The 27339-nt window shown below is 47.6% G+C and overlaps 1 protein-coding gene and 1 pseudogene across 5 annotated transcripts, besides 1 other annotated feature; both read left to right on the top strand.

Moving 5' to 3' along the window:
• Positions 7020-7173, top strand: RNU1-42P (RNA, U1 small nuclear 42, pseudogene; annotated as a pseudogene).
• Positions 11698-27224, top strand: SNF8 (SNF8 subunit of ESCRT-II). 5 transcript variants are annotated; one of them, NM_001317194.2, is made up of 10 exons: positions 11698-11859; positions 12565-12615; positions 15478-15616; positions 19249-19259; positions 19416-19520; positions 19607-19685; positions 20298-20370; positions 23194-23335; positions 24823-24897; positions 25928-27224. In NM_001317194.2, exons 6-10 carry the CDS (start codon positions 19649-19651, stop codon positions 26063-26065), a joined length of 465 nt encoding a protein of 154 aa, NP_001304123.1. In that variant the 5' UTR covers positions 11698-11859; positions 12565-12615; positions 15478-15616; positions 19249-19259; positions 19416-19520; positions 19607-19648; the 3' UTR covers positions 26066-27224. The 5 variants fall into 5 exon arrangements, 4 of the variants coding, with proteins under 4 accessions (NP_001304123.1, NP_001304121.1, NP_009172.2 ...); NR_133679.2 differs by lacking the exons at positions 19249-19259; positions 19607-19685 and having other exon boundaries at positions 20298-20409; NM_001317192.2 differs by lacking the exons at positions 19249-19259; positions 19607-19685 and having other exon boundaries at positions 24826-24897.
• Positions 11756-11985: a silencer, noted in NCBI's record as "silent region_8664". NCBI's record gives its function as "represses an Ori minimal core promoter by ATAC-STARR-seq in GM12878 lymphoblastoid cells {active_cell/tissue: GM12878}" and the evidence as "EXISTENCE:reporter gene assay evidence [ECO:0000049][PMID:35858748]".
• Positions 27225-27339: the final 115 nt, after the last annotated feature.

Genomic DNA, 27339 nt, shown 5'->3' with positions numbered 1-27339 from the left:
GGAGTTTGAGACCAGCCTGGCCAACATGGCGAAACCCCATCTCTACAAAAATATTAGCCCGGCATGATAGTGGGTGCCTGTAATCCCTGCTACTCAGGAGGCTGAGGCGGGAGAATCACTTGAACCCAGGAGGCGGAGGTTGCAGTGAGCCAAGATTGCGCCATTGCACTCCAGCCTGGGTGACACAGCGAGACTCGTCTCAAAAAAAAAAAAAAAAAAAAAAAAAAAAAAAGCCAGTTGCGGTGGCTAACGCCTGTAATCCCAGCACTTTGGGAGGCCAAGGCAGGCAGATCACAAGGTCAGGAGATCGAGACTATCCTGGCTAACACGGTGAAACCCCGTTTCTACTAAAAAAAAAAAATACAAAAACAAAATTAGCCAGGCGTGGTGGCTGGCGCCTGTAGTCCCACCTACTCGGGAGGCTGCGGCGGGAGAATGGCGTGAACCCAGGAGGCGGAGCTTGCAGTGAGCAGAGATTGTGCCACTGCACTCCAGCCTGGGTGACACAGCAAGACCCCATCTCACAAAAAAATAAGAAGAAAAAAGAGGCCGGGCGTGGTGACTCACGCCTGTAATCACAGCACTTTGGGAGGCCGAGACAGGTGGATCACGAGGTCAGGAGATCGAGACCATCCTGGCTAACACGGTGAAACCCCGTCTCTACTAAAAATACAAAAAAATTAGCCGGGCATGGTGGCAGGTGCCTGTCGTCCCGGCTACTCGGGAGGCTGAGGCAGGAGAATGGCGTGAACCCGGGAGCTGGAGCTTGCGGTAAGCCGAGATCGCGCCACTGCACTCCAGCCTGGGAGACAGAGCAAGACTCCGTCTCAAAAAAAAAAAAAAAAGAAAAGAAAAAAGAAAAAAAGAAAAAGAAAAAAGGAGTCTCCCTATTTGGCTCAGAATGGTCCTGAACATCTGGGCTCAAGTGATCCTCCCGCCTCGGTCTCCCAAAGTGTTAGGATTATGGGGTGTGGGCTGCTGTACCAGGCCCAGACTTTAATTTTTATATTTATTTACTTATTTAAAAGATCCTTGAGTCATAAAGACCTTCCTTCATTTTTGTTTTTTTTTTGAAACTGAATCTTGCTCTTGTTGCCCAGGCTGGAGTGCAATGGCGCAATCTCGGCTCACTGCAACCTCCGCCTCCTGGGTTCAAGTAATTCTCCTGCCTCAGCCTCACAAGTAGCTGGGATTACAAGTGTGCACCGCCATGCCCGGCTAATTTTTGTAGTTTTAGTAGAGACAGTTTTCACCATTTGGCCAGGCTGGTCTTGAACTCCTCACCTCAAGTAATTGGCTTGCTTCAGCCTCCCAAAAAGGCTTTAAATGAACCACTGTATTATAGCCTGGGTGAGAGAGCAAGACTCCGTGTCAAAAAATAAAATAAAATAAAATAAAATAAATAAATAAATAAAATAAAATAAAATAAAATCAGGGAGTGAATGGCCGGGCATGGTGGCTCACGCCTGTAATCCCAGCACTTTGGGTAGCCAAGGCGGGTGGATCACTTGAGGCCAGGAGTTCAAGATGGCAAAATCCCATCCCTACTAAAAACACAGAAAATTAGCTGGGTGTGGTGGCATATGCCTGTACTCCCAGCTACTTGGGAGGCTGAGGCAGAAGAATCGCTTGAACCCGGGAGGCAGAGGTTGCAGTGAGCTGAGACTGCAGCACTGCACTACAGCCTGGGTGACAGAGTGAGACTCCATCTCAAAAAAAAAAAAGTATATATATATATCACGGAGTGGGTTTCTTGCTCCAATCAGAGCACCATCCTATCTTCACTGCTCCTTATCCTCTGCTCTGGGAGGTCCACGTAACTGTGCTGCAGCTTCTGTCACTCTGTGACCTGCAGATATTGGGAGATCCATAACTAAGACACCAGGACACCCCGGAAGCCAGGAAAGCAACACCTTGATGCCTTGTGTATGCTTCTCCAATCCAGAGTATGGGCCATCAACCCGCAAAAGATACAAAGCCCAGGACCAGCTGTAAAGCTCCTAAAGTCACTTGGCCAGGTTTCATTGTTTGTATTGTTGGTGTGGCCTCTGCTAACAAGCATAAAACAAATTAATGCAACCTGTCCACCCATGCCATGGAAATGACTGCAGCGCCCCCTTCTCTACAGGCTGAGGAACCGTCGTGAAAGAGGTGGGTGCATGAGATTGTATGAGCCGGATTAGATGAGTGGAGTGTGGTCAAGAGAGGGACTTTATTTTAAATCCTAATCTGACATGTAATTTCTGATTTACCCAGAAGTGCCTCCCAAATGTCTACTTGATGTATTACGCTTTCTGTAGAACACTTATTCACTGTAAGTTTCCTCCAAAACAACCCTTGATGCTGTTGCAGAAATCATAGGCTGTGAAGCTTGTAAACGCCTGCACATTACTTCCAGAGCATTTATACTTTTCCCCAGGATATAAGCCCTGGGTCTGGGGGTTGTTTTGTGGAGATCTACCCATCTTGTGGCCACCCAAGACCACCCTTCTGTCTGTAAGTTATCCTAATAAATTACCTAAAACCAAAATTAATAAATAAAATCAAATCAGGGAGAGAGTGGCAACCAGATTGTCCCAAGGTCTGGCTGTGAGCAAAATGGGGAGAGTGCAAGACAATGGGAGGGGTAGGATTGTGCCTCAAGGCATTCTGCTAACCAAACAAAACTCCTTTTTTTTTTGAGACAGAGTCTTGCTGTGTCACCCAGCCTACTTTAAATTTTCTTTTTTCTTTTATTTTTATTTTTTATTTTTTTTGAGACAGAGTCTCGCTCTGTCGGCCAGGCTGGAGTGCAGTGGCAAGATCTCAGCTCACTGCAACCTCTGCCTCCCGGGCTCAAGCAATTCCCCTGCCTCAGCCTCCCAAGTAGCTGGGATTATAGGCGTGTGCCACCACTCCCAGCTAATTTTTGTATTTTTAGTAGAGACGGGGTTTCACCATGTTGGCCAGGCTGGTCTCGAACTCCTGACCTCAGGTAATCCGCCCGCCTTGGCCTCCCAAAGTGCTGGGATTACAGGTGTGAGCCATGGCGCCCAGCCAAATTTACTTTTAAAAAAAAATTTTCAACTTTTATTTTAGATACAGATATTTATGTGCAGATTTGTTAAACTGGAACATTGCATGATGCTGGGGTTTGGAGTACGGGTCCTGTCACCCTGGCAGTGAGCATAGAGCCCGATAGGTAGTTTTGTAGGCTTTTTAAGGCTTTTAATTTTCTACCTCATAGAGGCAGTGCAGTGCATGGTTAATAACAATTATTATATTATCATTTTTAAAGGGTTATGATAAGGATTTAAATGAGATCATCATGATAAAAAAAAAAGGAAGACAATGTTTACAAAATGCCTAGCACAATGCCGAGCCCATAGTAAGAACATTGTACAAATGGAAAAAAGCTAACTTCTTTTTTTAGAGTTGGGGGTTTCCCTCCGTTGCCTAGGCTACAGTGCAGTGGTGTGATCATGGCTCACAGCAGCCTCAAACTCCTGGGCTGGAGATCTTCCTGCCTCGGTACTCCACCCCCTTCTGCTCCGTGGCTGGAATTATATTAATAGGTGTGAGCCACCATGTCCAGCTCAAAACTAACTCTTTTTGATTCACTAACCTCCCCCGAAGACATCCAAGACCCCAGAAATGCAGATTCAAATTTCTCCCCCAGACAATCAGTTCTATCATGGAGAATCACTAAAATAAACCCTCTAAACAAAGGCTTGCTCTAAATTGTGTGTACAGATTCCAGGAGCTCCAGGAATTTAAAGGAATAGAAACCAAGAATGTCAGAGCTGAAAGAAACCTTAGAGGTCAACTGGAGGCTGAGTGCGGTGGCTCACGCCTGTAATCCCAGTATTTAGGGAGGCCAAGGTGAGAGGATGGCTTGAGCCCAGGAGATCAAGACCAGCCAGGGAAACAAAGCCAGACCTTGTCTCTATGACAATTTAAAAAAATTAACCAGGCATGGTGGCATGCATCTGTAGTCCCAGCTGCTTGAAAGGCTGAGGCCACAGGATCCCTTAAGCCCAGGAGTTCGAGGTTACAATGAGCTATGATGGCACCACCGCATTCCAGCCTGTGTGACATAGTGAGACCCTGTCTCCAAAAAAAATAAAAATAAAAATAAAAGACCATGTTCTAGCCGGGCGCAGTGTCTCGCGCCTGTAATCCCAGCACTTTGGGAGGCCGAGGCAGGTGGATCACCTGAGGTCAGGAGTTCGAGACCAGCCTAACCAACATGGAGAGACCCCATCTCTACTAAAAATGCAAAGTTAGCCGGGCGTGGGGGCGCATGACTGTGGTCCCAGCTACTCAGGAGGCTGAGGCAGGAGAATCGCTTGAACCCAGGAGGCGGAGGTTGCGGTGAGGCGAGATTGCACCATTACACTCCAGCCTGGGCAACAAAAGCGAAACTCCGTGCCCCTCCCCGCAAAAAGACCATGTTCTTAGCCACCCTGCCACGAAGCCAATGAGTCACTTAAAGCAAACGAGGGATTCCATAATGGTCAGCATTCAGTGATGTGCTGGAAGCAGGCACAGTGGCGAGTGCCTTGTCCCATCTACTTGAGAGACTGAGGCAGGAGGATCACTTAAGCCCAGTTGTTCAAAGCTGTAGTGCCCTGTGATGGCACCTGTGAATAGCCACCGTACACCATCCTGGCAACATATCAAGCCCATGATCAGAGTATTTACACCATGGAGATAGGCAAATGCTACAAATCAGGGTTCCCCTCTCCCAACCTGGCAAGGTAGTTGTTAAACCCTTACCAGGATATCACTGGTCAGCATATTTTCCCTAAAATTATAAAACGGTACAAAGGTATCTGCATAGGAGGATGAGCATGTCTGCCTGAGTGTGGCTACACTCAGCATAGCCATTGAGGTCCATTTCGTGCATCTAAGGGACTAGGCATAGCCAGGCATGGTGGCTAACGCCTGTAATCCCGCACTTTGGGAAGCCAAGGCAGGTGGATCACCTGAGGTTAGGAGTTCAAGACCAGCCTGGCCAATGTGGTAAAACCTTGTCTCTACTAAAAAGCCAAAATTAGCCGGCCATGGTTGCGAGCGCCTGTAGTCCCAGCTACTTGGGAGGTTGAGGCAGGAGAATCTCTTGAACCCAGGAGGCAGAGGTTGCAGTAAGCTGAGATCACGCCACTGCACTCCAGCCTGGGCAACAGGAGCGAAACTCGGTTTCAAAAAAAAAAAAAGTCCAGGCGCAGTGGCTCATGCTTGTAATCCCAGCACTCTGGGAGGCCGAGGCGGGCGGATCACCTGAGATCAGGAGTTCAAGACCAGCCTGACCACCATGGAGAAACCCCGTCTCTAATAAAAATACAAAAACTTGGCCAGGCTTGGTGGCACATGCCTGTAATCCCAGCTACTCCGGAGGCTGAGGTAGGAGAATAGCTTGAACCCAGGAGGCAGAAGTTGCAGTGAGCTGAGATCGCACCATTGCACTCCAGCCCAGGCAACAACAGCGAAACTCCATCACAAAAAAAAAAAAAAAAAAAAGGGACTAGGCATGTGTGTATGCATTTGAAGGCATGAATGATTAAATCTAAGGTCTTCACTGTGAGCGAGCGGATCAGTGTGTATACCTTAGGGCACTGTATAATGAGTCAAAGAGTAAGGGAGGAAGCAGGTATATCTAGATGGTGTCAGTGAGTACCTATGGGACCAAGTTTTGTGTTTGGAAGCTATGTAGTTAAGACCTCATATGATGGCTGGGGGTGGTGGCTCATGCATGGTATCTCAGCACTTTGGGAGGCCAAGGTGGGTGGATCACTTGAGGTTGGGAGTTTGAAACCAGCCTGGCCAACGTGGCGAAACCCTGTCTTTACTAAAAATACACAAATTAGCCAGGTGTGATGATGTGCGCCTGTAGTCCCAGCTACCCGGGAGGCTAAGGCAGGAGAATTGCTTGAACCCGGGAGGCAGAGGTTGCAGTGAGCTGAGATCATGCCATTGCACTCCAGCCTGGGCAACAGAGGAAGACTCTGTCTCAAAAAAAAAAACAAAAAACAAAACAAAACAAAAGGCCGGGCGCAGAGGCTCACGCCTGTAATCCTAGCGCTTTGGGAGGCCGAGGCGGGCAGATTGCCTGAGCTCAGGAGTTCCAGACCAGCCTGGGTAACATGGTAAAACCTCGTCTTTACTAAAGCACAAAATATTAGCTGGGCATGGCAGTGTGCACGGTAGTCCCAGCTACGTAGGAGGCTGAGACAGAATTGCTTGAACCCAGGAGGTGGAAGTTGCAGTGAGCCGAGATTGCGCCACTGCACTCTAGCCTGGGCAACAGAGCGAGATTCCGTCTCCAAAAAAACAAAAAAAAAATTAGATTTGGCAGCTGGGCAAGATGGCTGACGCCTGTAATCCCAGCAGTTTGGGAGGCCAAGGCGGGTGGATCACTTGAGGTTAGGAGTTCAAGACCAGCCTGGCCAACAGGGGTGAAACCCTGTCCCTACTAAAACTACAGAAATTAGTCGGGCATGGTGGCAGCTACTCGGAAGGCTGATGCAGGAGAATCGCTTAAACCCAGGAGGCAGAGATTGTAGTGAGCTGAGATTGTGCTACTGCACTCCAGCCTGGGCAACAAAGGGAAACTCCATCTAAAAAAAAAAAAAAAAAAAAAAAAGCCAGACGCGGTGGCTTATACCTGTAATCCCAGCACTTTGGGAGGCCAAGGTAGGCGGATCACCAGAGATCGGGAGTTCGAGACTAGCCTGACCAACATGGAGAAGCCCCATCTCTACTAAAAATACAGAATTAGCTGGGTGTGATGGCGCATTCCTGGAATCCCAGCTACTTGGGCGGCTGAGGCAGGAGAACTGCTTGAATCCGGGAGGCAGAGGTTGCGGTGAGCTGAGATCGCGCCATTGCACTCCAGCCTGGGCAACAAGAGCAAAACACCATCTCAAAAGGAAAAAAAAAAAAAGAAGAGATAGATTTGGCTTCAAATAACAGGAAAACACAAAATAATAGTGGCTTCAGTAAGACAGGACATTATTTCTCTTTCTCATAAACACTCAATACTTACCTGGCAGGGGAGATACCATGATCCTGAAGGTGGTTTTCCTAGGGCGAGGCTCATCCATTGCACTCCGGATGTGCCGACTCGCGATTTCCCCAAATGTGGGAAACTCGACTGCGTAATTTGTGGTAGCGGTGGACTGCGTTTGCGCTCTAGTAAAATTAAAAATAAAAAAAAAAAAAATAGGCTGGGCTCACGCCTATAATCCTACCACTTTGGGAGGCCAAGGCGGGCGGACTGCCTGAGCTCAGGAGTTCAAGACCAGCCTGGGCAACATGGTGAAACCCCGTCTCTACTAAAATACAAAAAAAAAAAAAAAAAAAAAATAGCTGGGTATGGTGGTGTGCTCCTGTAGTCCTAGCTACTCGGGAGGCTGAGGCAGAATTGCGTGAACCCAAGAGGCAGAGGTTGCAGTGAGCCAAGATCGTGCCACTGCACTCTAGCCTGGCGACAGAGCAAGACTCTGTCTCAAAATAAATAAATAAATAAACACTCAGAGATTGGTGGCCTAGGGCTAGTATGACAGTCTGCTCTGTAAAATCCTTAGGGATCGAAGCTCATTGGACTCATGGTTCCACCATTCCTCTAGGTCCAAAATGGCAGCTACATGTCTTGCCATCAACCTTTGCTCTCATCCTCTTTTTATCATTTTACTTGAAACCTTCCTAGTAAAATTCACATTCATGATTTCACTGTGTTGATTCCAAAACTGTAACTCAGTCCAGCTCTTTTTATTTTTATTTTTTGAGGCGGGGTCTTGCTATATTGTCCAGGCTGGTCTTGAACTCCTGGCCCCAAGAGATCCTCCCAGTCCAGCTCTTTTTAAAAATTTATTTTAAAAACAGAGACAGGTCTTCATATGTTGCCCAAGCTGGTCTCAAACTCCTGGGCTCAAGCAAGCCTCCTGCCTCGGCCTCCCAAAGTGTTGGGATTACAGGTGTGAACCGCTGTGTCCAGCCAGCTCTTTTTTTTTTTTTTTTTTTTGCGACAGATTTTCACTCTTGACGCCCAGGCTGGAGTGCAATGGCACAATCTCGGCTCATTGGAACCTCCATCTCCCGGGTTCAAGCGATTATCCTGCCTCAGCCTCCCGAGTAGCTAGGATTACAGGCATGCGCCACCATGCCCGGTGGCGCATTTTTAAAAATAAAAAAATATTTTAAAAAATTAGCCAGTGTCGTGGCATGCGCCTGTAGTCTCAGCTACTCGGGAGGCTGAGGCAGGAGGATCGCTTGAACCCAGGAGGCAGAGGCTGCAGTGAGCCGAGATCGCACCACTGCACTCCAGCCTGGGGGACAGAGTGAGGTTCTGTCTCAAAAAAACAAAAATACTCTACCCTTCATTATTTCGCCAATATCGTCTTCATTCTGTGGCCCCCCTCTCTGAATGGCACTACCATGTTACCCCAGGTAGAATACTGAGCATCTCTCGTCCTTGTCCCACCCATGCCACCCTATTTGTTTTACCACTCTTTCTTTCTTTCCTTCCTTCCTTTCTCTTTTTTTTGTTGACATGGAGTCTCACTCTGTCGCCCAAGCTGGAGTGCAGTGGCTCAATCTCGGCTCACTGCAAGCTCTACCTCCCGGGTTCACGCCATTCTCCTGCCTCAGCCTCCCGAGTAGCTGGGACTACAGACGCCCGCCACCACGCCCAGCTAATTTTTTTGTATTTTTTTTAGTAGAGATGGGGTTTCACCGCATTAGCCAGGATGGTCTCGATCTCCTGACCTCGTGGTCTGCCCTCCTCGGCCTCCCAAAGTGCTGGGATTACAGGCATGAGCCACCGCGCTTGGTCCTTTTTTTATTTTTTTTTGAGACAGAGTCTCGCTCTGTCGCCCAGGCCTGAGGGCAGTAGCACAATCTTGGCTCACTGCAACCTCCGCCTCCCGGGTTCAAGCGATTCTTTTGTCTCAGCCTCCCGAGTAGCTGGGACTACGGGCTTGTGCCACCACAGAGACAGGGTTTCACCATATTGGCCAGGCTGGTCTTGAACTCCTGACCTCGTGATCCACCCGCCTCGGCCTCCCAAAGTGCTGGGATTACAGGAGTGAGCCACCGTGCCTGGCCTCACTCTACTTTCTTAATATCTCTTGGATTTGTCCCATTCTCGCTTTCCTTATTGCCACTGTCTTTGTTCTGGCCCTCATCATTTCTAGTTTGGATTACTACAACTGAGATGAATTAAATCCAGGCTGCCACTGAGGCAGGAACATAGGGTCTAGAGGCAGGCAACTCACTTCAGCTATGAGAGGAAATATCCTTTTCATAGGGCATACACTGGGTAAATGGGACTGTGTAACTTTACTTCATCCTTTTCATTTACATAGGGCGTGTGTACCCCAGGTAGAGGGCATTTAAATTCACAAAAAACTCTGTAACAGAACCTTTGAGCCCCTATGCTTGGGCCCGCTCCCACGCTGTAGAGTTTTCTTTTCTTTTTTTTTTCTTGAGACGGAGTTTCGCTCTTGTTGCCCAGGCTGGAGTGCAATGGCGCAATCTCAGCTCACCGCAACCTCCTCCTCCTGGATTCAAGCGATTCTCCTGCCTCAGCCTCCCGAGTAGCTGGGATTACAGGCATGTGCCAGCACGCCTGGCTAATTTTGTATTTTTAGTAGAGAAGGGGTTTCTCCATGTTGGTCAGCCTGGTCTTGAACTCCCGACCTCAGGTGATCCATCCGCCTCGGCCTCCCAAATTGCTGGGATTACAGGCATGAGCCACGACGCCCAGCTGAGTTTTCTTTTCTTTGCTTTTTTTTTTTTTTTTTTTGAGATGGAGTTTCCTTCTGTTGCCCAGGCTGGAGTGTAATGGTGTGGTCTTGGCTCACTGCAACCTCGGCCTCCCGGGTTGAAGTGATTCTCCTGCCTCAGCCTCTCAAGTAGCTGGGATTACAGGTGTGAGCCAACACATCTGTCTACTTTTGCATTTTTTTTAGTAGATAGAGGGTTTTACCATGTTGGCCAGGCTGGTCTCGAACTCCTGACCTCAAGTGATCCACCTGGGTCAGCCTCCCAAAGTGCTGGGATTACAGGCGTGAGCCACCGCGCCCGTGCTACTTTCATTTTCAATAAATCCCTTAATTCCTTCCTTGCTTTGTTTGTGCGTTTTGTCCAGTTGTTTGTGCAAAACCCCAAGAACCTGGAACACCCTCCACCGTTAACATATTTTGGCGAGCCAGCCAGGAGGAAAATGTAAGCCCAAAGTTTGGGATTTATTTTCCCCCTTTTTCCTTTTCCTTTCTACTCCATAAAGGGGAATCTCTCCCTCTCTCTGTCTTCCTTTCCAACCCAGGACCGTTGGTGGGCAGCGCCCAAACATGGAAGCAACTGCAGGTTTTTGGCCATGGCCAGTGAAACTAAGGGGTTTCCATGTGGAGAAGCCTAACTACCACCTCCTGGTTCGCTTAAGGAACCTGGGTCTTTTTCGTTTTTTTCCTTTTTTTTTTTTTTTGAGATGGAGTCACTCTGTCACCGAGGTTGGAGTGCATTGGCAAGATCTCTGCTCACTGCAACCTCTACCTCCCAGGTTCAAGGAATTCTCTGCTACAGCCTCCCGAGCAGCTAGGATTACAGGCACCAGCCACCACGCCCGGCTAATTTTTTGTATTTTTAGTAGAGACGGAGTTTCACCATCTTGGCCGGGTTGGTCTTGAACTCCTGACCTCGTGATCCACCCGCCTCGGCCTCCCAAAGTACTGGGATTACAGGTGTGAGCTACCGCGCCCGGCTACAGATGACTGATTTTATCTCAAACAATGAATAACAATCATAAATGATATTTATTTGTGTGCCAGGCATTGCACTATATAATTTACTGCTTTTTTTTTTTTTTTTTTTTTTTTGAGACGGAGTCTCGCTCTTGTTGCCCATGCTGGAGTGCAATGGCGCGATCCTGGTTAACTGCAACCTCCGCCTCCTGGGTTCAAGCGATTCTTCTGCTTCAGCCTCCCGAGTACCTGGGATTAGATGCGCACCACCACGCCCTGCTAATTTTTTTGTATTTGTAGTAGAGACGGGGTTTCGTCTTGTTGACCAGGCTGGTCTCGAACTCCTAACTTCAGGTGATCCGCCCGCCTCAGCCTCCCGAAGTGCTGGGATTACAGGCTTGAGCCACCGCGTCAGGCCATGAGTAGGTATTATTCTATTTCACTACAGCGGATAGTGAAACATAAAGACATTAAAATAATTTGTCTTAAGTTCCTGGACCATATGTAGTGGAACTGAGCTTTGTAGCCAGGCAATCTGTCTTCAGAGTTCAACTTAACTTCAAGGCGCTTGGTAGTCAGAATCCTTTGTATGTGATTCCAACAGGTTAACTCCTTTAGGGCAGAGGGCTGTTTTATGCTCAATATGGAACCTTGGATGGCCAACACAGCGTGTGGCACGTAGGAGGTGGTCCAGGGGCATTTGATGACCTCCAGGCAGTGGAGAGGCAGTCGAGGAAGACCAGGGCCCCAGGCGCCTACGTGGGTGGAATGCACAAGGTTGGCCTTGGCTGCCGGGGCTCCATGTCCCAGCACTAGCCAAGGAGGGCCTCAGCCGCGCTTGAATACTCGTGCTTTCCTCGCCGCGAGGCTTTGCGAATCTTGGCCACTAGCTAAAGGCGGGGTCGCCGGGCCGGTAGGAACTGGAGACACTCAGCCTCGCGGCAGGAAATGCGGCTCGTGGCTTCCGGCGCGTGCAGATGACGCGCGGCTCGGGCTTCCGCCTTGGGGAGCCGGCGGCGGAGTCCGGGACGTGGAGACCCGGGGTCCCGGCAGCCGGGCGGCCCGCGGGCCCAGGGTGGGGATGCACCGCCGCGGGGTGGGAGCTGGCGCCATCGCCAAGAAGAAACTTGCAGAGGTGAGCAGGAAGAAGGCCGACCCACAACCTGCCCCTGACCCGTGCGAGACTGAATTGTCCCGGAGCAGTGTCCTACCCGTTAATCACCTCCCAACAGAATCTGAGACTGGCTTCTCGGCCCCGGGACACAGAATTTCTCCAGCTTCCGGTGGATTGGCAGCGTTCCCAGATGCCCAGCCCTTTCTCCCATTTACCCAAGTTTAACTACAAATGGGATTCTACTCACAAATCTACAGTCGTCGATTCTACTCCTTCACCCTATCCTTCTCCCTAAGAAAACAATTTACAGAGATCCTCCTCTTTTCATCCCAAAGCTGTGGCAGCACAAATGGGGGAACCCAGCGCCCACTCTGTGTTTTTTTGTTTTGTTTTGTTTTTTGAGACAGAGTCTTGCTCTGTCGCCCAGGTTGGAGTGCAGTGGCGCGATCTCGGCTCACTGCAACCTCCACCTCCAGGGTTCACGCCGTTCTCCTGCCTCAGCCTCCTGAGTAGCTGGGACTACAGGCGCCCACCACCACGTCCGGCTATTTTTTTGTATTTTTAGTAGAGACGGGGTTTCACTGTGTTAGCCAGGATGGCTCGATCTCCTGACCTCGTGATCCGCCCGCCTCGGCGTCCCAAAGTTCTGGGATTACAGGCGTGAGCCACCGCGCCTGGCCTCCAGCGCCCACTCTCTTAACTTATGCTGGTCTCTTTGTCTGACAGGCCAAGTATAAGGAGCGAGGGACGGTCTTGGCTGAGGACCAGCTAGCCCAGGTAAGTCGGTTGGGGGGCCCCAGGCAGGGAGGGAGACCTAACCAGGTCTGGCCAAGACACCTTGGATACGAACTTGATTGTGTAGATTGAACTAGAAATAGGGTGTTTGGCAAATTTTGATTTCTGAGCCGCTGAGATCTTTTAGGTGACTTGCTAATAACAATAATGGCTAACATCTTTGAGTGATTACATGCTTGTAACGTCCCAGGCATTTGTCTATTTTCTTTACATAGACTGTCTTGTTCAATCCTCATTACAGTCCCATAAGGAAGGAACCCTATTATTCTGAGGTGTTTGTTTGTTTGTTTGTTTGTTTTTTGAGGGAGTCTTGCTCTGTTGCCCAGACTGGAGTACAGTGGCACGATCTCGGCTCACTGCAGCCTCCGTTTCCTGGGTTCAAGTGATTCTCCAACCTCAGCCTCCCGAGTAGCTAGAACTACAGACATGCGCCACCACGCCTGGGTAATTTTTGTATTTTTAGTAGAGACGGGTTTCTCCATGTTGGTCAGACTGGTCTCAAATTCTTGACCTCGTGATCCGCCCACCTTGGCTTCCCAGAGTGCTGGAATTAAAGGCGTGAGCCACTGTGCCGGGCCCTAATTTTTGTTATTTTTTTTTGTAGAGGCAGGGTTTCGCCATATTGACCAGGCTGGTCTCAAACTCCTGGCCTCAGGTGATCCACCCGCCTCGGCCTCCCAGAGTGCTGGGACTACAGGCGTGAGCCACCGCGCCCGGCCATATTCTGAGTTTAAAATTGAGAGCCGGGTGCTGTGGCATATGCCTGTAATCCCAGCACTTTGGGAAGCTGAGGAAGGCTGATCACCAGAGGTCCATAGTTCGAGACCAGCCTGGCCAACATGGCGAAACCCCGTCTCTACTAAAAATACAAAAATTAGCCGGGCGTGGTGGCGGGCTCCTGTAGTCCCAGCTACTGGGGAGGCTGAGGTAGGAGAATTGCATGAACCCAGGAGACAGAGGTTGCAGTGAGCCAGGATCATGCCACTGCACTCCACCTTGGGGGACAGAGCAAGACTCCATCTCAAAAAAAAGCAAAAAAAAAAAAAAAAAAAAAAAAAAGGCCGGGTGCGGTGGCTAACGCCTGTAATCCCAGCACTTTGGGAGGCCGAGGTGGGCAGAAATTGAGGACACTGGGGTGTTAAGTAATATATCCAAGGTTATATGGGTAGTAAGTGGTAGAGCTGTTATTGATTTAGGTCCTCTGGGGCTTTTCATTTTAAATACCTCAGAATAAAATGAAAATATTGCCTAACCTGTGGCACCCACACCACCATCATGACATCTAGGCACATACCAGGACAGTGTGTGAGTGATGGGGGGTGCAGCTCCTGTGCAGTTTTCTTTTCCAGCCCTTCCCTTCTCTGTACGTGCTCCGAGTTTACCCAGTGATTGTGATTGGGGAAGAAGTGGAGGAAGCCGTTAAGCAGGAAAATGGGGCTGTGAGCTGAGGAAAAATAGTAAACCCAGGCTGTGCTCTTCAAAAGCACCCACTCACAGGGGAGATGGCATGCAGGAATCAACTGAAAATGGTGATTAAAATATGTGGAGGTTTCTTTTTTTTTTTTTTTTGAGACCAAGTTTCGCTCTTGTTGCCCAGGCTGGAGTGCAGTGGCGTGATCTTGGCTCACTGCAACCTCCGCCTAAGAATGTGGAGGTTTCTAACAGTTTTATATGAGAAATAAATATTGGGCTAGGAGTGCTTATTTTTGGTGGGATAGAAGATGGTCCTTGTTAATTAGGAAAAGAGAAGGGGTAATACAAAGTCAGAAAATCCCCAAGTCTTTTGTATTTAACATGAAATGGAATCTGGCAAATTACAGTCCCAGAGCAGTTCTTTATCTGGAGTTGATCCCCAGGGAGGTTCATGACTCAAAAGTTTTTTGTTTTTTTAATTTATATTGGTTGATTGATTGATTGGCCCTGTGCGGTGGCTCACATCTGTAATCCCAGCACTTTGGGAGGCTGAGACAGATGGACTGTTTGAGGTCAGGAATTTGAGACCAGCCTGGCCCACATGATGAAACCCTGTCTCCACTAAAAATACAAAAATTAGCCAGGTGTGGTGGTGCATGCCTGTCGTCCCAACTAGTCGGGAGGCTGAGGCAAGAGAATCAACTTGAACTGGGAGGCGAAGGTTGCAGTGAGCTGAGATTGTGCCAGTGCACTCCAACCTGGGCGACAAAGCAAGATTCTGTCTCAAAAAAATTAAAAAAAAAAAATATTGATTGATTGAGACAGTCTTGCTATGTTGCCCCAGCTAATCTTGAGCTCCTGGGCTCAAGTGATCCGTTGTGGGATTACAGGTGTGAGCCACCATTCCTGGCCAGACTCAAAGGTTATAAACAGATTCATGTGACGCTTCACTTTTTCCCATCCAGCCTTTCTGTCGGCTGGGGGGGGTAAAGATTTTCTAATGGGTGAACACTGCATTCCCTCATTTCTAAGATATGATGAATTATTAGGTACATCTTCAAATTAATACGTTTTTCTGGGAAAAAGAAAAGGAATACCACATTATATATATACCTTTTTCTTTTTTTGTGCATATATTTGGTTGTATATATGTGCACCTTGATTATTAAATGCATGCTGATTTTAGAAGAGGAATACATGAAAAATTGTGTATTTTGGAAGTGAGAAAACAGTACAGCATCCCATTTCTGCTGACAACAGAACTGTGAAGGAGAGGCAGGGATAAAAAGAGAGATGGTAAACAGCATAATGGTAGGCTGAGGGAGACTGGTTATTTCAGCCTTTGCCCTGCCACAGGGCTGGGGACCTGTTTTTGGCATCTGATTATCATTTGGCTGGGCTGCCCTTCACCACTCCCTGTCCATCCAACAGATGTCAAAGCAGTTGGACATGTTCAAGACCAACCTGGAGGAATTTGCCAGCAAACACAAGCAGGAGATCCGGAAGAATCCTGAGTTCCGTGTGCAGTTCCAGGACATGTGTGCAACCATTGGCGTGGATCCGCTGGCCTGTAAGAAGTTGTCTGTAGGGGTCCAGCGTTCTTATAGAGTACCTGAGGAACAGAAGCTCACATAGTTGTTGTTACCACTGTTGGGGCATCCACTAGAAAGGCCTGCAGGAAGACCCAGAGGATGCTGTCTTTTTGAGACGGAGTTTTGCTCTGTCGCCCAGGCTGGAGTGCAGTGGCACAATCTTGGCTCACTGCAAGCTCTGCCTCCCGGGTTCACGCCATTCTCCTGCCTCAGCCTCCCGAGTAGCTGGGAATACAGGTGCTCGCGACCACGTCCAGCTAATTTTTTGTGTTTTTAGTAGAGATGGGGTTTCACCATGTTAGCCAGGATGGTCTTGATATCCTGACCTCGTGATCCGCCCGCCTCGGCCTCCCAAAGTGCTGGGATTACCTGCATGAGCCACTGCGCCTGGCCAAGGGTGTCGTCTTTAGGGAGTACCTAGCAGGATGGCTAGTTCCCAGTCTGATATGGAAGATAGACCGACTATAGGCTGAGTAGCCAGTGTCTGTGATCATTCCTTGAATGATCTACAGTAGAATTTTTTATGGCATTTTCCCTCTTTATTAAAAAATATTTAATTTTGGCCAGGTGCAATGGCTCATGCCTGTAATCCCAGCACTTTGCAAGGCCAAGGCAGGCAGATCACTTGAATCCAGGAGTTAAAGATCAGCCTGGGCAACATGGCGAGACTCCATCTCTACAAAAAGTATAAAAATTTGCCAGGTGTGGTGGCATGTGTCTATAGTCCAGCTACTCGGGAGGCTAAGGTGGGAGGATTGCTTGAGACTGGGAAGTTGAGGCTGCAGCAAGACCTTGTTTAAAAAAAAAATTTTTTTTTTTTTTTTTTTTTGAGACAGTCTTGCTCTGTCACCTACGCTGGAGTGCAGTGGTGCCATCTTGGCTCACTGCAACCTCTGCCTCCCAGGTTGAAGCAATTCTTGTGCTTCAGCCTCCCAAGTAGCTGGGATTACAGGCCTGCACCACCAAATCTGGCTAATTTTTGTATTTTTTGTAGAGAGGAGGTTTCACCATGTTGCCCAGTTTGGTCTTCAACTCTTGGGATCAAGTGATCGGCCTTTCTTGGCCTTCCAGAGTGCTGGGATTATAGATGTGAGCCACTGCACTGAGCCCTTCCTCATACTTATAAACTTTAAAAAAAATTATTCACCGGGCGCGGTGGCTCACGCCTGTAATCCCAGCACTTTGTGAGGCTGAGGCGGGCAGATCATAAGGTCAGGAGATGAGGCCATCCTGGCTAACACGGTGAAACCCTGTCTCTACTAAAAATACAAAAAATTAGCCAGGTATGGTGGCACATGCCTGTAATCCCAGCTACTCGGGAGGCTGAAGCAGGAAAATCACTTGAACCCGGGAGGTGAAGGTTGCAGTGAGCCAAGGTCGCGCCCCTGCACAACAGCCCAGGCAACAGAGCGAGACTCCATCCCCCCAAAAAAAAAAAAAAAAGAAATTACTAATTTATTATTTTTTAGCATTGAGGTTTCTGTCACCTAGGCTGGAGTGCATTGGTGCAATCAGCCCACTGCAGCCTTCAACTCCAGGGCTCAAGTTACTTTCCTGCCTCAACCTCCCAAGTGGAGCTGGGACTAGAGGCATGAGTCACCGTGCCTGGCCCCAGTGTTTTTTTTTTTTTTTTTCTTGAGACAGAGTCTCACTCTGTTGCCCATGCTGGAGTACTGTGGTGTGACACTCTTGGCTCACTGCAACCTCCTTCTCCTGGGTTCAAGTGATTCTCCTGCCTCAGCCTCCTGAGTAGCTAGCTGGGACTATAGGCATGTGCCACCATGCCCGGCTAATTTTTTGTATTTTTAGTAGAGACGGAGTTTCACCATCTTGGCCGGGTTGGTCTTGAACTCCTGACCTCGTGATCCACCCGCCTCGGCCTCCCAAAGTACTGGGATTACAGGTGTGAGCTACCGCGCCCGGCTACAGATGACTGATTTTATCTCAAACAATGAATAACAATCATAAACGATATTTATTTGTGTGCCAGGCATTGCACTATATAATTTACTGCTTTTTTTTTTTTTTGAGACGGAGTCTCGCTCTTGTTGCCCATGCTGGAGTGCAATGGCGCGATCCTGGTTAACTGCAACCTCCGCCTCCTGGGTTCAAGTGATTCTCCTGCCTCAGCCTCCTGAGTAGCTAGCTGGGACTATAGGCATGTGCCACCATGCCCGGCTAATTTTTTGTATGATTAGTAGAGACAGGGTTTCAGCATGTTAGCCAGGATGGTCTTGATCTCCTGACCTCGTGATCTGCCCCTCTCAACCTCCCAAAGTGCTGGGATTACAGGCGTGAGCCACTGCTCCTGGCGTGGCCCCAACTTTGTAAACATATATGGGATTATAATATAATTACTACTGCTCTATAACCTACATTTTTGTTTTCTTTTTTTTTTTTTTTTTGAGATGGAGTTTTGCTCTTGATTCCCAGGCTGGAGTGCAATGGCGTGATCTTGGGTCACTGCAACCTTCGCCACCCAGGTTCAAGCGATTCTCCTGCCTCAGCCTCCCAAGTAGTTGGGATTACAGGTGCCCACCACCATGCCTGGCCAATTTTGTATTTTTAGTAGAGACGGGGTGTCTCCATGTTGGTCAGGCTGTTCTCGAACTCCTGACCTCAGGTGATCCGCCTGCCTCTGCCTCCCAAAGTGCTGGGATTACAGGCGTGAGCCACTGCGCCCAACCTGCATTTTTCACTGAATAGAATATTGTCGTCAGTGGATTGTTTATTTATTTATTTTTTATTTCTACACTCCTGGTAACTCACAGAACATTCAGTGGATTTTTGAATGCTGAGTCTGCATATTCTTTCTCTTAGTCTTGTCTAGACCATATTTCCCATTATATTTCACTGCATGCTTTGTGAATGGAAACTCGTTTTTTCAGTATCCTGAGCCAGAATTAGCCAAATAGAAATGACTTTTGTTTTATTTTTTAAATTTTTATTTATTTATTTTTATTTATTTATTTTTTTTGAAACGGAGTCTCACTCTGTTGCCAGGCTGGAGTGCAGTGGCGTAATCCCGGCTCACTGCAACCTCTGCCTCCCGGGTTCAAGCGATTCTCTTGCCTCAGTCTCCTGAGTAGCTGAGATTACAGGCACGCGCCACCACGCCCGGCTAATTTTTGTATTTTTAGTAGAGACAGGGTTTCACTGTATTGGCCAGGATGGTCTCTATCTCTTGACCTTGTGATCCACCAGCTTTGGCTTCCCAAAGTGCTGGAATTACAGGCGTGACCCACTGTCCCCGGCTGTATTTTTTTTTTTTGAGAGAGAGTTGTGCTCTTATTGCCCAGGCTGGAGTATGGTGGCGCGATCTTGGCTCACTGCAACTTCTGCCTCCTGGGTTCCAGCAATTCTCCTGCCTCAGCCTCCCAAGTAGCTGGGATTACAGGCGCACGCCACCACTCCTGGCTAATTTATTATTATTATTATTAGAGATGGGGTTTTGCCATGTTGGCCAGGCTGGTCTTGAACTCTTGGTCTCGAGCGATCCACCTAGCTCGATGTCCCAAAGTGTTGGAATTACAGGCGTGAGCCACTGCGCCCGGCCAGAAATGACTTTTAGATTGCCTGCCCTCTGGAGCCGTCTGACCCTGTTCTTCAGCAGGAGTTACCGTGAGTCCGATTGTTTCCTGAGTAGCAGATGGAGCAGAAGAACTTCATGCCATGCAGGGAAGACTTCCCATATGATAGATGTTTTAATGCAGGTTTGAAAGAAAAGAAGGGATGTAAATTAATCAATAACCGAGATTTTGTTTTTCTGTCTTGTAGCTGGAAAAGGATTTTGGTCTGAGATGCTGGGCGTGGGGGACTTCTATTACGAACTAGGTGTCCAAATTATCGAAGTGTGCCTGGCGCTGAAGCATCGGAATGGAGGTGAGGGTGGCTAGGTCCTGTGAACTGGACTCTGGACTTCTCTGAGAGGGAGAAAACCGTAAAAGATTATCGTTTCCATCCTGCAGTCTACAGGCCTCTAAGGACTTGAGAGACATCTTAGCTGTTTCATGCAGTTGAATCCATGGCAAGTCTCCATGGCCAAGGGTAAATAGAATTACCTGAACGATTGTCTCTGTTCTCCAAAGATCTTTGGCCAGGAAGGTCTAGTCCCTAGTCAGTACAGAAAATAGTAGAGAGGTAGGAAGTAGGCCTTTTCCCCTGATGTCTGATGTGTCTGGAGTGATTTTCTCATTAGTAACTATAGTCCTGCACTGTCTCTCCGACGTATGGGAATGCCAACTGAGTCTGTGTTCCCTAAAATGTGACCTTAAAATTTGTCATCTGGTGATGCCATCTTTCTTAGTAAGCACGTTAAATGGTGTGGATTGAAGTTACAGAAAGAAAACTTAAAACCATTTACAAATCATCATCAACTATAAATAGACACGGCCTTGATGTCAAGAGGACATTTATAGTTTTTCAAAGATGATACTGCTTTTGTTTTTAGATTTTCGTAGCTCTCTGTTGACAGGCCTAGCAAGGTCTCAGAATCCATTTCTCATATTATGGTCAGTTATTTCATAAGGAGAGTGTTAAAAAAAAATTAGGAACTAGAATGTTATTTGCTACTTGTAGGCCACTGGAATTGTAATGACTGTCAACTTATTTAAAGTGGGTAATCTCTTTTTCTGATTTCTGTTCCCTGTCTCCAAACAGGTCTGATAACTTTGGAGGAACTACATCAACAGGTGTTGAAGGGAAGGGGCAAGTTCGCCCAGGATGTCAGTCAGTAGGTCTTGTCTTCCAATCCCTTGGAGTACAGAAAGAGGTCTTTAAAATTCAGATGGAACTCTTTTCTCCCTATTCCTCATGTCTAGGCTAGCTTAGAAATCTGTATGATCTCCATATCATACAGGAAAAAAAAAAACAAAAAACAAACAAAAAATAAGAGATAGGGTCTCACTTTTGCCCGGGCTGGAGTACAGTGGCATGATCACAGCTTACTGCTACCAAGATCATTGCTTACTGCAGCCTCAAACTCTTGGGCTCAAGTAATCCTCCCACCTCAGCCTCCCAAGTAGTTGGGATTATAGGCATGGGCCAGTATGGCTGGCTATTTTTAGAAAACAGAAAATATAGATTTAAAAAAGGAAACAAAAACCATTATTTCTCAATTAAGAGATTACAACTGCTATATATTTTAATGTAGTTCCTTCTAAGCATTTTTTCATGTATTATTTTTTAACAAACTTGGGGCTATATATAGTCTTTTTTTTCTTTGAGAAAGAGTCTTGCTGTCACCCAGGCTGGAGTGCAGTGACCCGATCTTAGCTCACTGCAACCTCTGCCTTCTGGGTTCAAGCAATTCTCGTGCCACAGTCTCCCCAGTAACTGGAATTACAGGTGTGCACCACCATGCCCGGCTAATTTTTTTTTTTTTTTTTTTGAGACAGAGTCTCACTCTGTCGCCCAGGCTGGAGTGCAGTGGCGTGATCTCTGCTCACTGCAAGCTCTGCCTCCTGGGTTCACGCCATTCTCCTGCCTCAGCCTCCCGAGTAGCTGGGACTACAGGCGCCCGCCACCACGCCCGGCTAATTTTTTGTATTTTTAGTAGAGACGGGGTTTCACTGTGTTAGCCAGGATGGTCTCGATCTCCTGACCTCGTGATCCACCCGCCTCAGCCTCCCAAAGTGCTGGGATTACAGGTGTCTGCCACCGCGCCTGGCCGCCTGGCTAATTTTTGTATTTTTAGTAGTGATGGGGTTTCACGTTGTTGGCCAGGCTGGTTTTGAACTCCTGGCCTCAAGTGATCTGCCTGCCTCAGCTTCCCAAAGTGCTGGGATTACAGGTGTGAGACACCACGGCTGGCCAGGGCTGTATATAGTCGTGAGATTATTTGAGGCCAAGGAGAGTAGTGTAGGTGCCTAGAAAGGCTGGGGAAGGAGGTGGTAGTGAGATGATGGAATATAAATTGATCTAGTTCTCCAGCCTCTATGTGCGAGTCCAGTTTGAGAAAAGATAAAAGGCTGTTTTTGATGTAACTTCCAAAGAGTCAGCCTACTATGAGATCTTGAAGACCTAGAATATTCAAAGAAAAGTAACGAGGCTGGGTGCAATAGCTTACACCTGTAATCCTAGCCCTTTGGGAGGCTGAGGTGGGAGGATCGCTTGAGGACAGGAGTTCGAGACCAGTCTGGGCAGTGTAGTGAGACCTTGTCTCTACAAAAAATAAAATTAGTTGGGTGTTGAGGCATGCACTCATTGTTCTAGGCTGCAGTGAGCTATGATTGCACCACTGCACTCCAGCCTGGGATATAGAGCAAGACGTCATCTCTACTTTTTTTTTTTGTTTTTTGAAATGGACTCTTGCTCTGTTGTCTAGGCTGGAGCGCAGTGGTACAATCTCGGCTCACTGCAACCTCCGCCTCCTGGGTTCAAATGATTCTTCTGCCTCAGCCTCCTGAGTAGCTGGGATTACAGGTACCTGCCACTGGCGCCCTGCTAGTTCTTGTATTTTTAGTGGAGATGGGGTTTCACCATGTTGGCTAGGCTGGTCTCGAACTCTCGGCCTCCCAAAATGCTGGGATTACAGGCGTGAGCCACCGCGCCCAGCCAAGACCTCATCTCCTAAAAAAAAAAAAAAGGAAAGTGATAACAAAAGATTACTAGCCATACTCATTGCAGATTTCATGAAGAGAGGGTGAGCATTTGAAGCATTTCAGTTTGCTATTCTTTGGGGGTTGGAGAATGCATTCCAATCTACCTAAAAGTGCCCTTTCCCTGGCTGTTTGGGTGATAACATTTTTTGAGCTTTGGCAGAGGTTTTAAACTCTGTATGTGGGCTGGATATGTGATCTACACACTGTTTTGTAGGTTTTCTTTTTCTCTGATTTCAATTAGAATCAGAAAACTTGGCAGTATTGGGTTTGAATTGCCACTTGGCAATAATAGTCAGCTGGGTTGCCCCCTTTAAAATAGATAAGCATTCTCTAGTTTGCCACAGGTGACACTACCCCCATTGCCTCTTCAGCTCACTCATTCACATTTCCTGATGGGCATCTGCAGGTGTATCTTTGACCGCTGTCTGGATGTTGGAATGAGTGGTTCGCTGAGCAGACAGCCTGACTCCTGTGTATCTCCCATGATTGTCCAAGCATCACTTATTGCTCCTTGACCCTGTCTTTTTACTGACGTAGTTGAGTGTTGTGCAGCCTTTTATTTTAGAGGCAGGGTCTCGCTCTGTCACCCAGGCTGGAGTACAGTGGTGCACAATCACAGCTCACTGCAGCCTTGAACTCCTGGGCTCAAGTGATCCTCCTGCCTCAGCCTCCCAAGGATTATAGGCGATTGCCACCATGCCCTGCTAATTTTTTATTTTTAGTAAAGATAAGGTCTTGCTGTGTTGCCCAGGCTGGTCTCTAACCCCTGGGCTCAAGCAGTCTTCTCAATGTGGGCATCCCAAAAGTGTTGCGATTATGGGTATGAGCCATTGCGCCTGGCAGTTGTGCAGTCTTCTAAATTTTCTGTCAGTATCCTGCCCAGGGCAGAGCTGAAACTGTGTTGTTAGGTCTGATTCTGCCAAGGGTCGTTAAGCAACTCTTCCTTACCTCAGAGATGACCTGATCAGAGCCATCAAGAAACTAAAGGCACTTGGCACTGGCTTCGGCATCATCCCTGTGGGCGGCACTTACCTCATTCAGTCTGTTCCAGCTGAGCTCAATATGGATCACACCGTGGTGCTGCAGCTGGCAGAGGTACTGGTGCACCTTCGAGTGTGTGTGTGTGCAAGGGACAGTCTGTGAGGCAAGTCTGGAGCAGTTCTCAGCTCGTGCTCCCCATTATGCAGGTCTTTTGCTGAGACTATCCAGTGGATGAACTACTCAGGCCTGTGCTTGTTCAGCAGACATTTATTGAGCAGCTACAGTGCAAAGCACTGGGCCAGGCTGTGGGGCATATAAAGATGATAAAATTCCTGCTCTCAAGGAGCTTACAGTCTAGTCAGGTAGACAGACATGCAGACAACTAACTAGATTTCTTTGGGTAGCCAGACTCTTTGATGTCTTTTGAAACTACTTTATGGATTCTTCAAAAACAGATTTTAAAAAATCTTGTTTGCCATGCCCCCATCCCTCATCATGCCTTAAGCATATGCCATCTTCCCCCAAATCCCCATCAGGTATTTAGATGTGTTCAGTTTTATTATTTTTGAGATGGAGTTTCACTCGTTGCCTAGGCCAGAGTGCAATGGCGTGATCTCAGCTCACTACAATGTCAGCCTCCCGGGTTCAAGTGATTCTCCTGCCTCAGCCTCCCGAGTAGCTGGGATTACAGGTGTGTGCCACCACGCCCAGCTAATTTTGTATTTTTAGTAGAGATGGGGTTTCTCCATGTTGGCCAGGCCTGAGTTTGGTCTCGAACTCCCGACCTCAGGTGATCCACCCACCTTAGCCTCTCTAAGTGCTGGGATTACAGGGGTGAGCCACCGCACCCGGCCCAGTTTCCTTTATGACGTAAAACAGAACTAAATAAGGGAGGGGCTTTTCTGTATTGGAGGATGAGTAGAATGAGGCAGGGCAAGGGCTGAATATTTAAATAATGGAGGTTATTAGCAGTTTATGATTATCATCATTTCTTCCCATCAATTAATTGTCCAGAATCTTCCCTTGTCATGCTCTAGAGTGCTTTGCAGAAGTCTAACTCAGTATGTTAGTACAAGGGACCCCACTTTTTTGTTTTTTGAGATGGAGTCTCGCTCTGTCACCCAGGCTGGTGTGCAGTGGTGCAATCTCCGGCTCACTGCAGCCTCCATCTCCCAGGTTCCAGTGATTCTTCTGCCTCAGCCTCCCGAGTAGCTGGGATTACAGGCGTGTGCCACCATGCCTGGCTAATTTTTGTATTTTTAGTAGAGATGGGGTTTCACCATGTTGGCCAGGCTGGTCTCGAACTCCTGACGTCAGGTGATCCACCCACCTCGGCCTCCCAAAAAGTGCTAGGATTACAGGCATGAGCTGCCGTGCCTGGCCGGTACCCCAGTTTTAGGATTGAACCCACCAACCTACCTCTGTCATGCTGAAAGTCACTTCTCTCTCTCCCCGCTGGAACCTTTAAACATTTTCTGTGTTCTCTCATGCTTGACAGCTTTTCCTCCTGTCTGGGTAAGTCTCTTGTTCCTGGGCAGATCCTGGGTTCTAAGGGAAGGTGCACTCTTAACTGATTCAATCCCCATTCCTCCTTCCTTCAGAAGAATGGCTACGTGACTGTCAGTGAGATCAAAGCCAGTCTTAAATGGGAGACCGAGCGAGCGCGGCAAGTGCTGGTATGCAACTTTGGAACAGTCCAGAAAAGACAGGCAGGCCCCAGTTGGGAGGATGTGGGTTCCACAAATGCAGGAACTTCAGCATTGCTTTGCTGGCCTTCTGCCTTGAAGGCTACTGCTGCCATGCTAGAAGGAAGCCCAGCACTTCTCTGAAGATGGCACCAAAAAGGTAGAACTAGGAAGGCAGGTTCCTAACTCTGGCATGCACACAATACCAGGCTGCCCCTGCTACTTGGGGAACTGACACTCTCTCTCCTGAACATGCTGAGCCTGGAGTTGCTGGTCAGGAGATTAATGTAGTTTGTACTGGAAGTAACACTGTTAGTACAGTGAATTATTAACTACGTTAATTACATATCTAATTATCCACTAAGCATTATATTGCATAGTATATACTCTAGCTTTATATATACAAATTTCATCGTACTGAAGAATGAATGATGTGAAGAGGGAGCAATGTAAGAACTCCGGCTTCAGTACCTTTTTTCCTTATCCAAACAATTCAACTGTCTAAACCTTTCATCTGTAAAATGGGGATAACATAATTATTTACCTAATGATATTGGACAGAAACCACCCATTTTGAGCATATTATTTCCAGCTCTAGGAACTGAGTCTATTCTTGCATAAGTATGGTCAATCATGTTTGCTACCCGGAATAACTTAATTCAAAGGTAGCTAAACAGTGATCTCTGTTTAACAGTTTCTGGGAAAATGGAGGCAGTGATTTGCTGAAGGCCACACAGCAAATATTTCTGTAGCTATGTTCTTTCCACTATATTCCACTATGCTAGGCTTTACCCCTCTTCCCCAGCAGCACAAGTTAAATGACTTCGTAGCATTTTTCAAATTCAGGCAAAGGCCAAGGCCAAACAGCTCGTTTAGTTGGTTGTGTAAAGGTTTGAAGGCACTTAGTAGATTTAGTTTGAAAACCTCACTGAAGCCAAAATAGGTGTGGGGGTTGCTTACCTACCCTTTGTCTATGGAACCTCCCTGTTCTCAAACTGCTCTTCTTCCCTTTTCCCTCCAGGAACACCTGCTGAAGGAAGGGTTGGCGTGGCTGGACTTACAGGCCCCAGGGGAGGCCCACTACTGGCTGCCAGCTCTCTTCACTGACCTCTACTCCCAGGAGATTACAGCTGAGGAGGCCAGAGAAGCCCTCCCCTGACTGCATGTGGAAGGGCACACAGCAGCAGGCAGGGAGGAGGCGGAGGTGGCAAATAAACCTGGGCAATTTTGTTTATACAAAAAATAGAAAAAAAGTTCCAAGTTTTTCTTTCTTCCCTCATTCTTTTATTTTTGAAAAGTGCCTTCACGTTGCATTTTTATTGGAGGAAAACCTCGCTCGTTCAGTAAGCATAATCTGATTAACACAGAGAACGGCAAGCACATATAAAATGATTTTTGTAGGTCATCTGCAAGTTCATGGAAGAGCTGGGCCTAGAATGTGGGTTGTTTCCTGGCCTGTCTAGTCTTTGTAGCTGTGAGACATAGATTACAGCCTATGCTAATTCAAACCTTTTAAATAAAATGTTCCTTATCTCAAACTAGCTGGTCCTAATGGACCAGTAAATAATATTCACTTTCAGTCTCTTCTGGCTTCCTCTGTAGAGGCTCTAGGTTATGACAGAGTTAGCTGTGAGTATGAAGGAAATAGAAGTCAATGTCCAATCGTGGCTAAATTGGAGGAAAGAAAACAATGGAATCTGAGGGGAATCAAACAATAGTTAGGGAATGTTCTATTTTCTTAAATTCCCTACTAGCTTTCTCACCCTCCTGTAGTGATTGCCAGGTCCCTCTAGCCTCAGTAGTGGGAAAGGGAGTCATTTACTGAACACCTACCCTGTGCCATTTTACATACAGCTCACTTAAATTTCACCAAGTAGGCAGCCTTCAACATCACAGGTGATTCAATCAAAGTAATTTGCCAGGGGCCGCCAGCTTCAGCCGAGCTAAAGCTGGTGCCTAGGCCTATTAACCCGAGCCCATGCCTTCATGTATCACTGCATAGTACAGAATGGCAGCACATACTGTGTGTAGACATTTTTCTACACACGTGGTCAGCCAAGAGTAAAAGCCTCTGCATCAGAAAGCAAGAATCTCCTATAGCAAGTAGAAGTGGTGATGAGGGAAGAGGCCAGAGTTGTTTAAGGCTCCCAAAGTCCTTATGGTCTAAAGGCTAAGATCCTAAAAGTGCTAGTTTAGTACTGGAAATCTGAAAACTCAATGGTTTTTCCATACTGAGACCCTTCCTTTAGCAGGATATAGCCTGGGCCCATCTCTTCCTCTGCCTATCCTTGTAGGACATGCTCACTCCAAGCTCTGGAATAGGTCTGTCTTTGGAAACCACTCAAACTAAGATGTCACTGACTGCCAGAGCATGGACCCCATTTCCAATGAGAAAACTTGTCCTGCTCTCCCCACCCAGCCCTGCCCTTCCAC

This window comes from Homo sapiens, chromosome 17, assembly GCF_000001405.40.
Source record: "Homo sapiens chromosome 17, GRCh38.p14 Primary Assembly".
NCBI lineage: Eukaryota > Metazoa > Chordata > Mammalia > Primates > Hominidae > Homo > Homo sapiens.
This window is presented reverse-complemented; position numbering and strand designations above follow the sequence as displayed.

Excerpts from the sequence above, each read along its gene's own strand:
- SNF8 (NM_007241.4), top strand. The coding sequence starts at position 11,806 with ATGCACCGCCGCGGGGTGGGAGCTGGCGCCATCGCCAAGAAGAAACTT. Across the intron at positions 11,860-12,564 it reads CCAAGAAGAAACTTGCAGAG|GCCAAGTATAAGGAGCGAGG; the intron begins GTGAGCAGGAAG and ends TTTGTCTGACAG. Across the intron at positions 20,371-23,193 it reads TTCGCCCAGGATGTCAGTCA|AGATGACCTGATCAGAGCCA; the intron begins GTAGGTCTTGTC and ends TCCTTACCTCAG.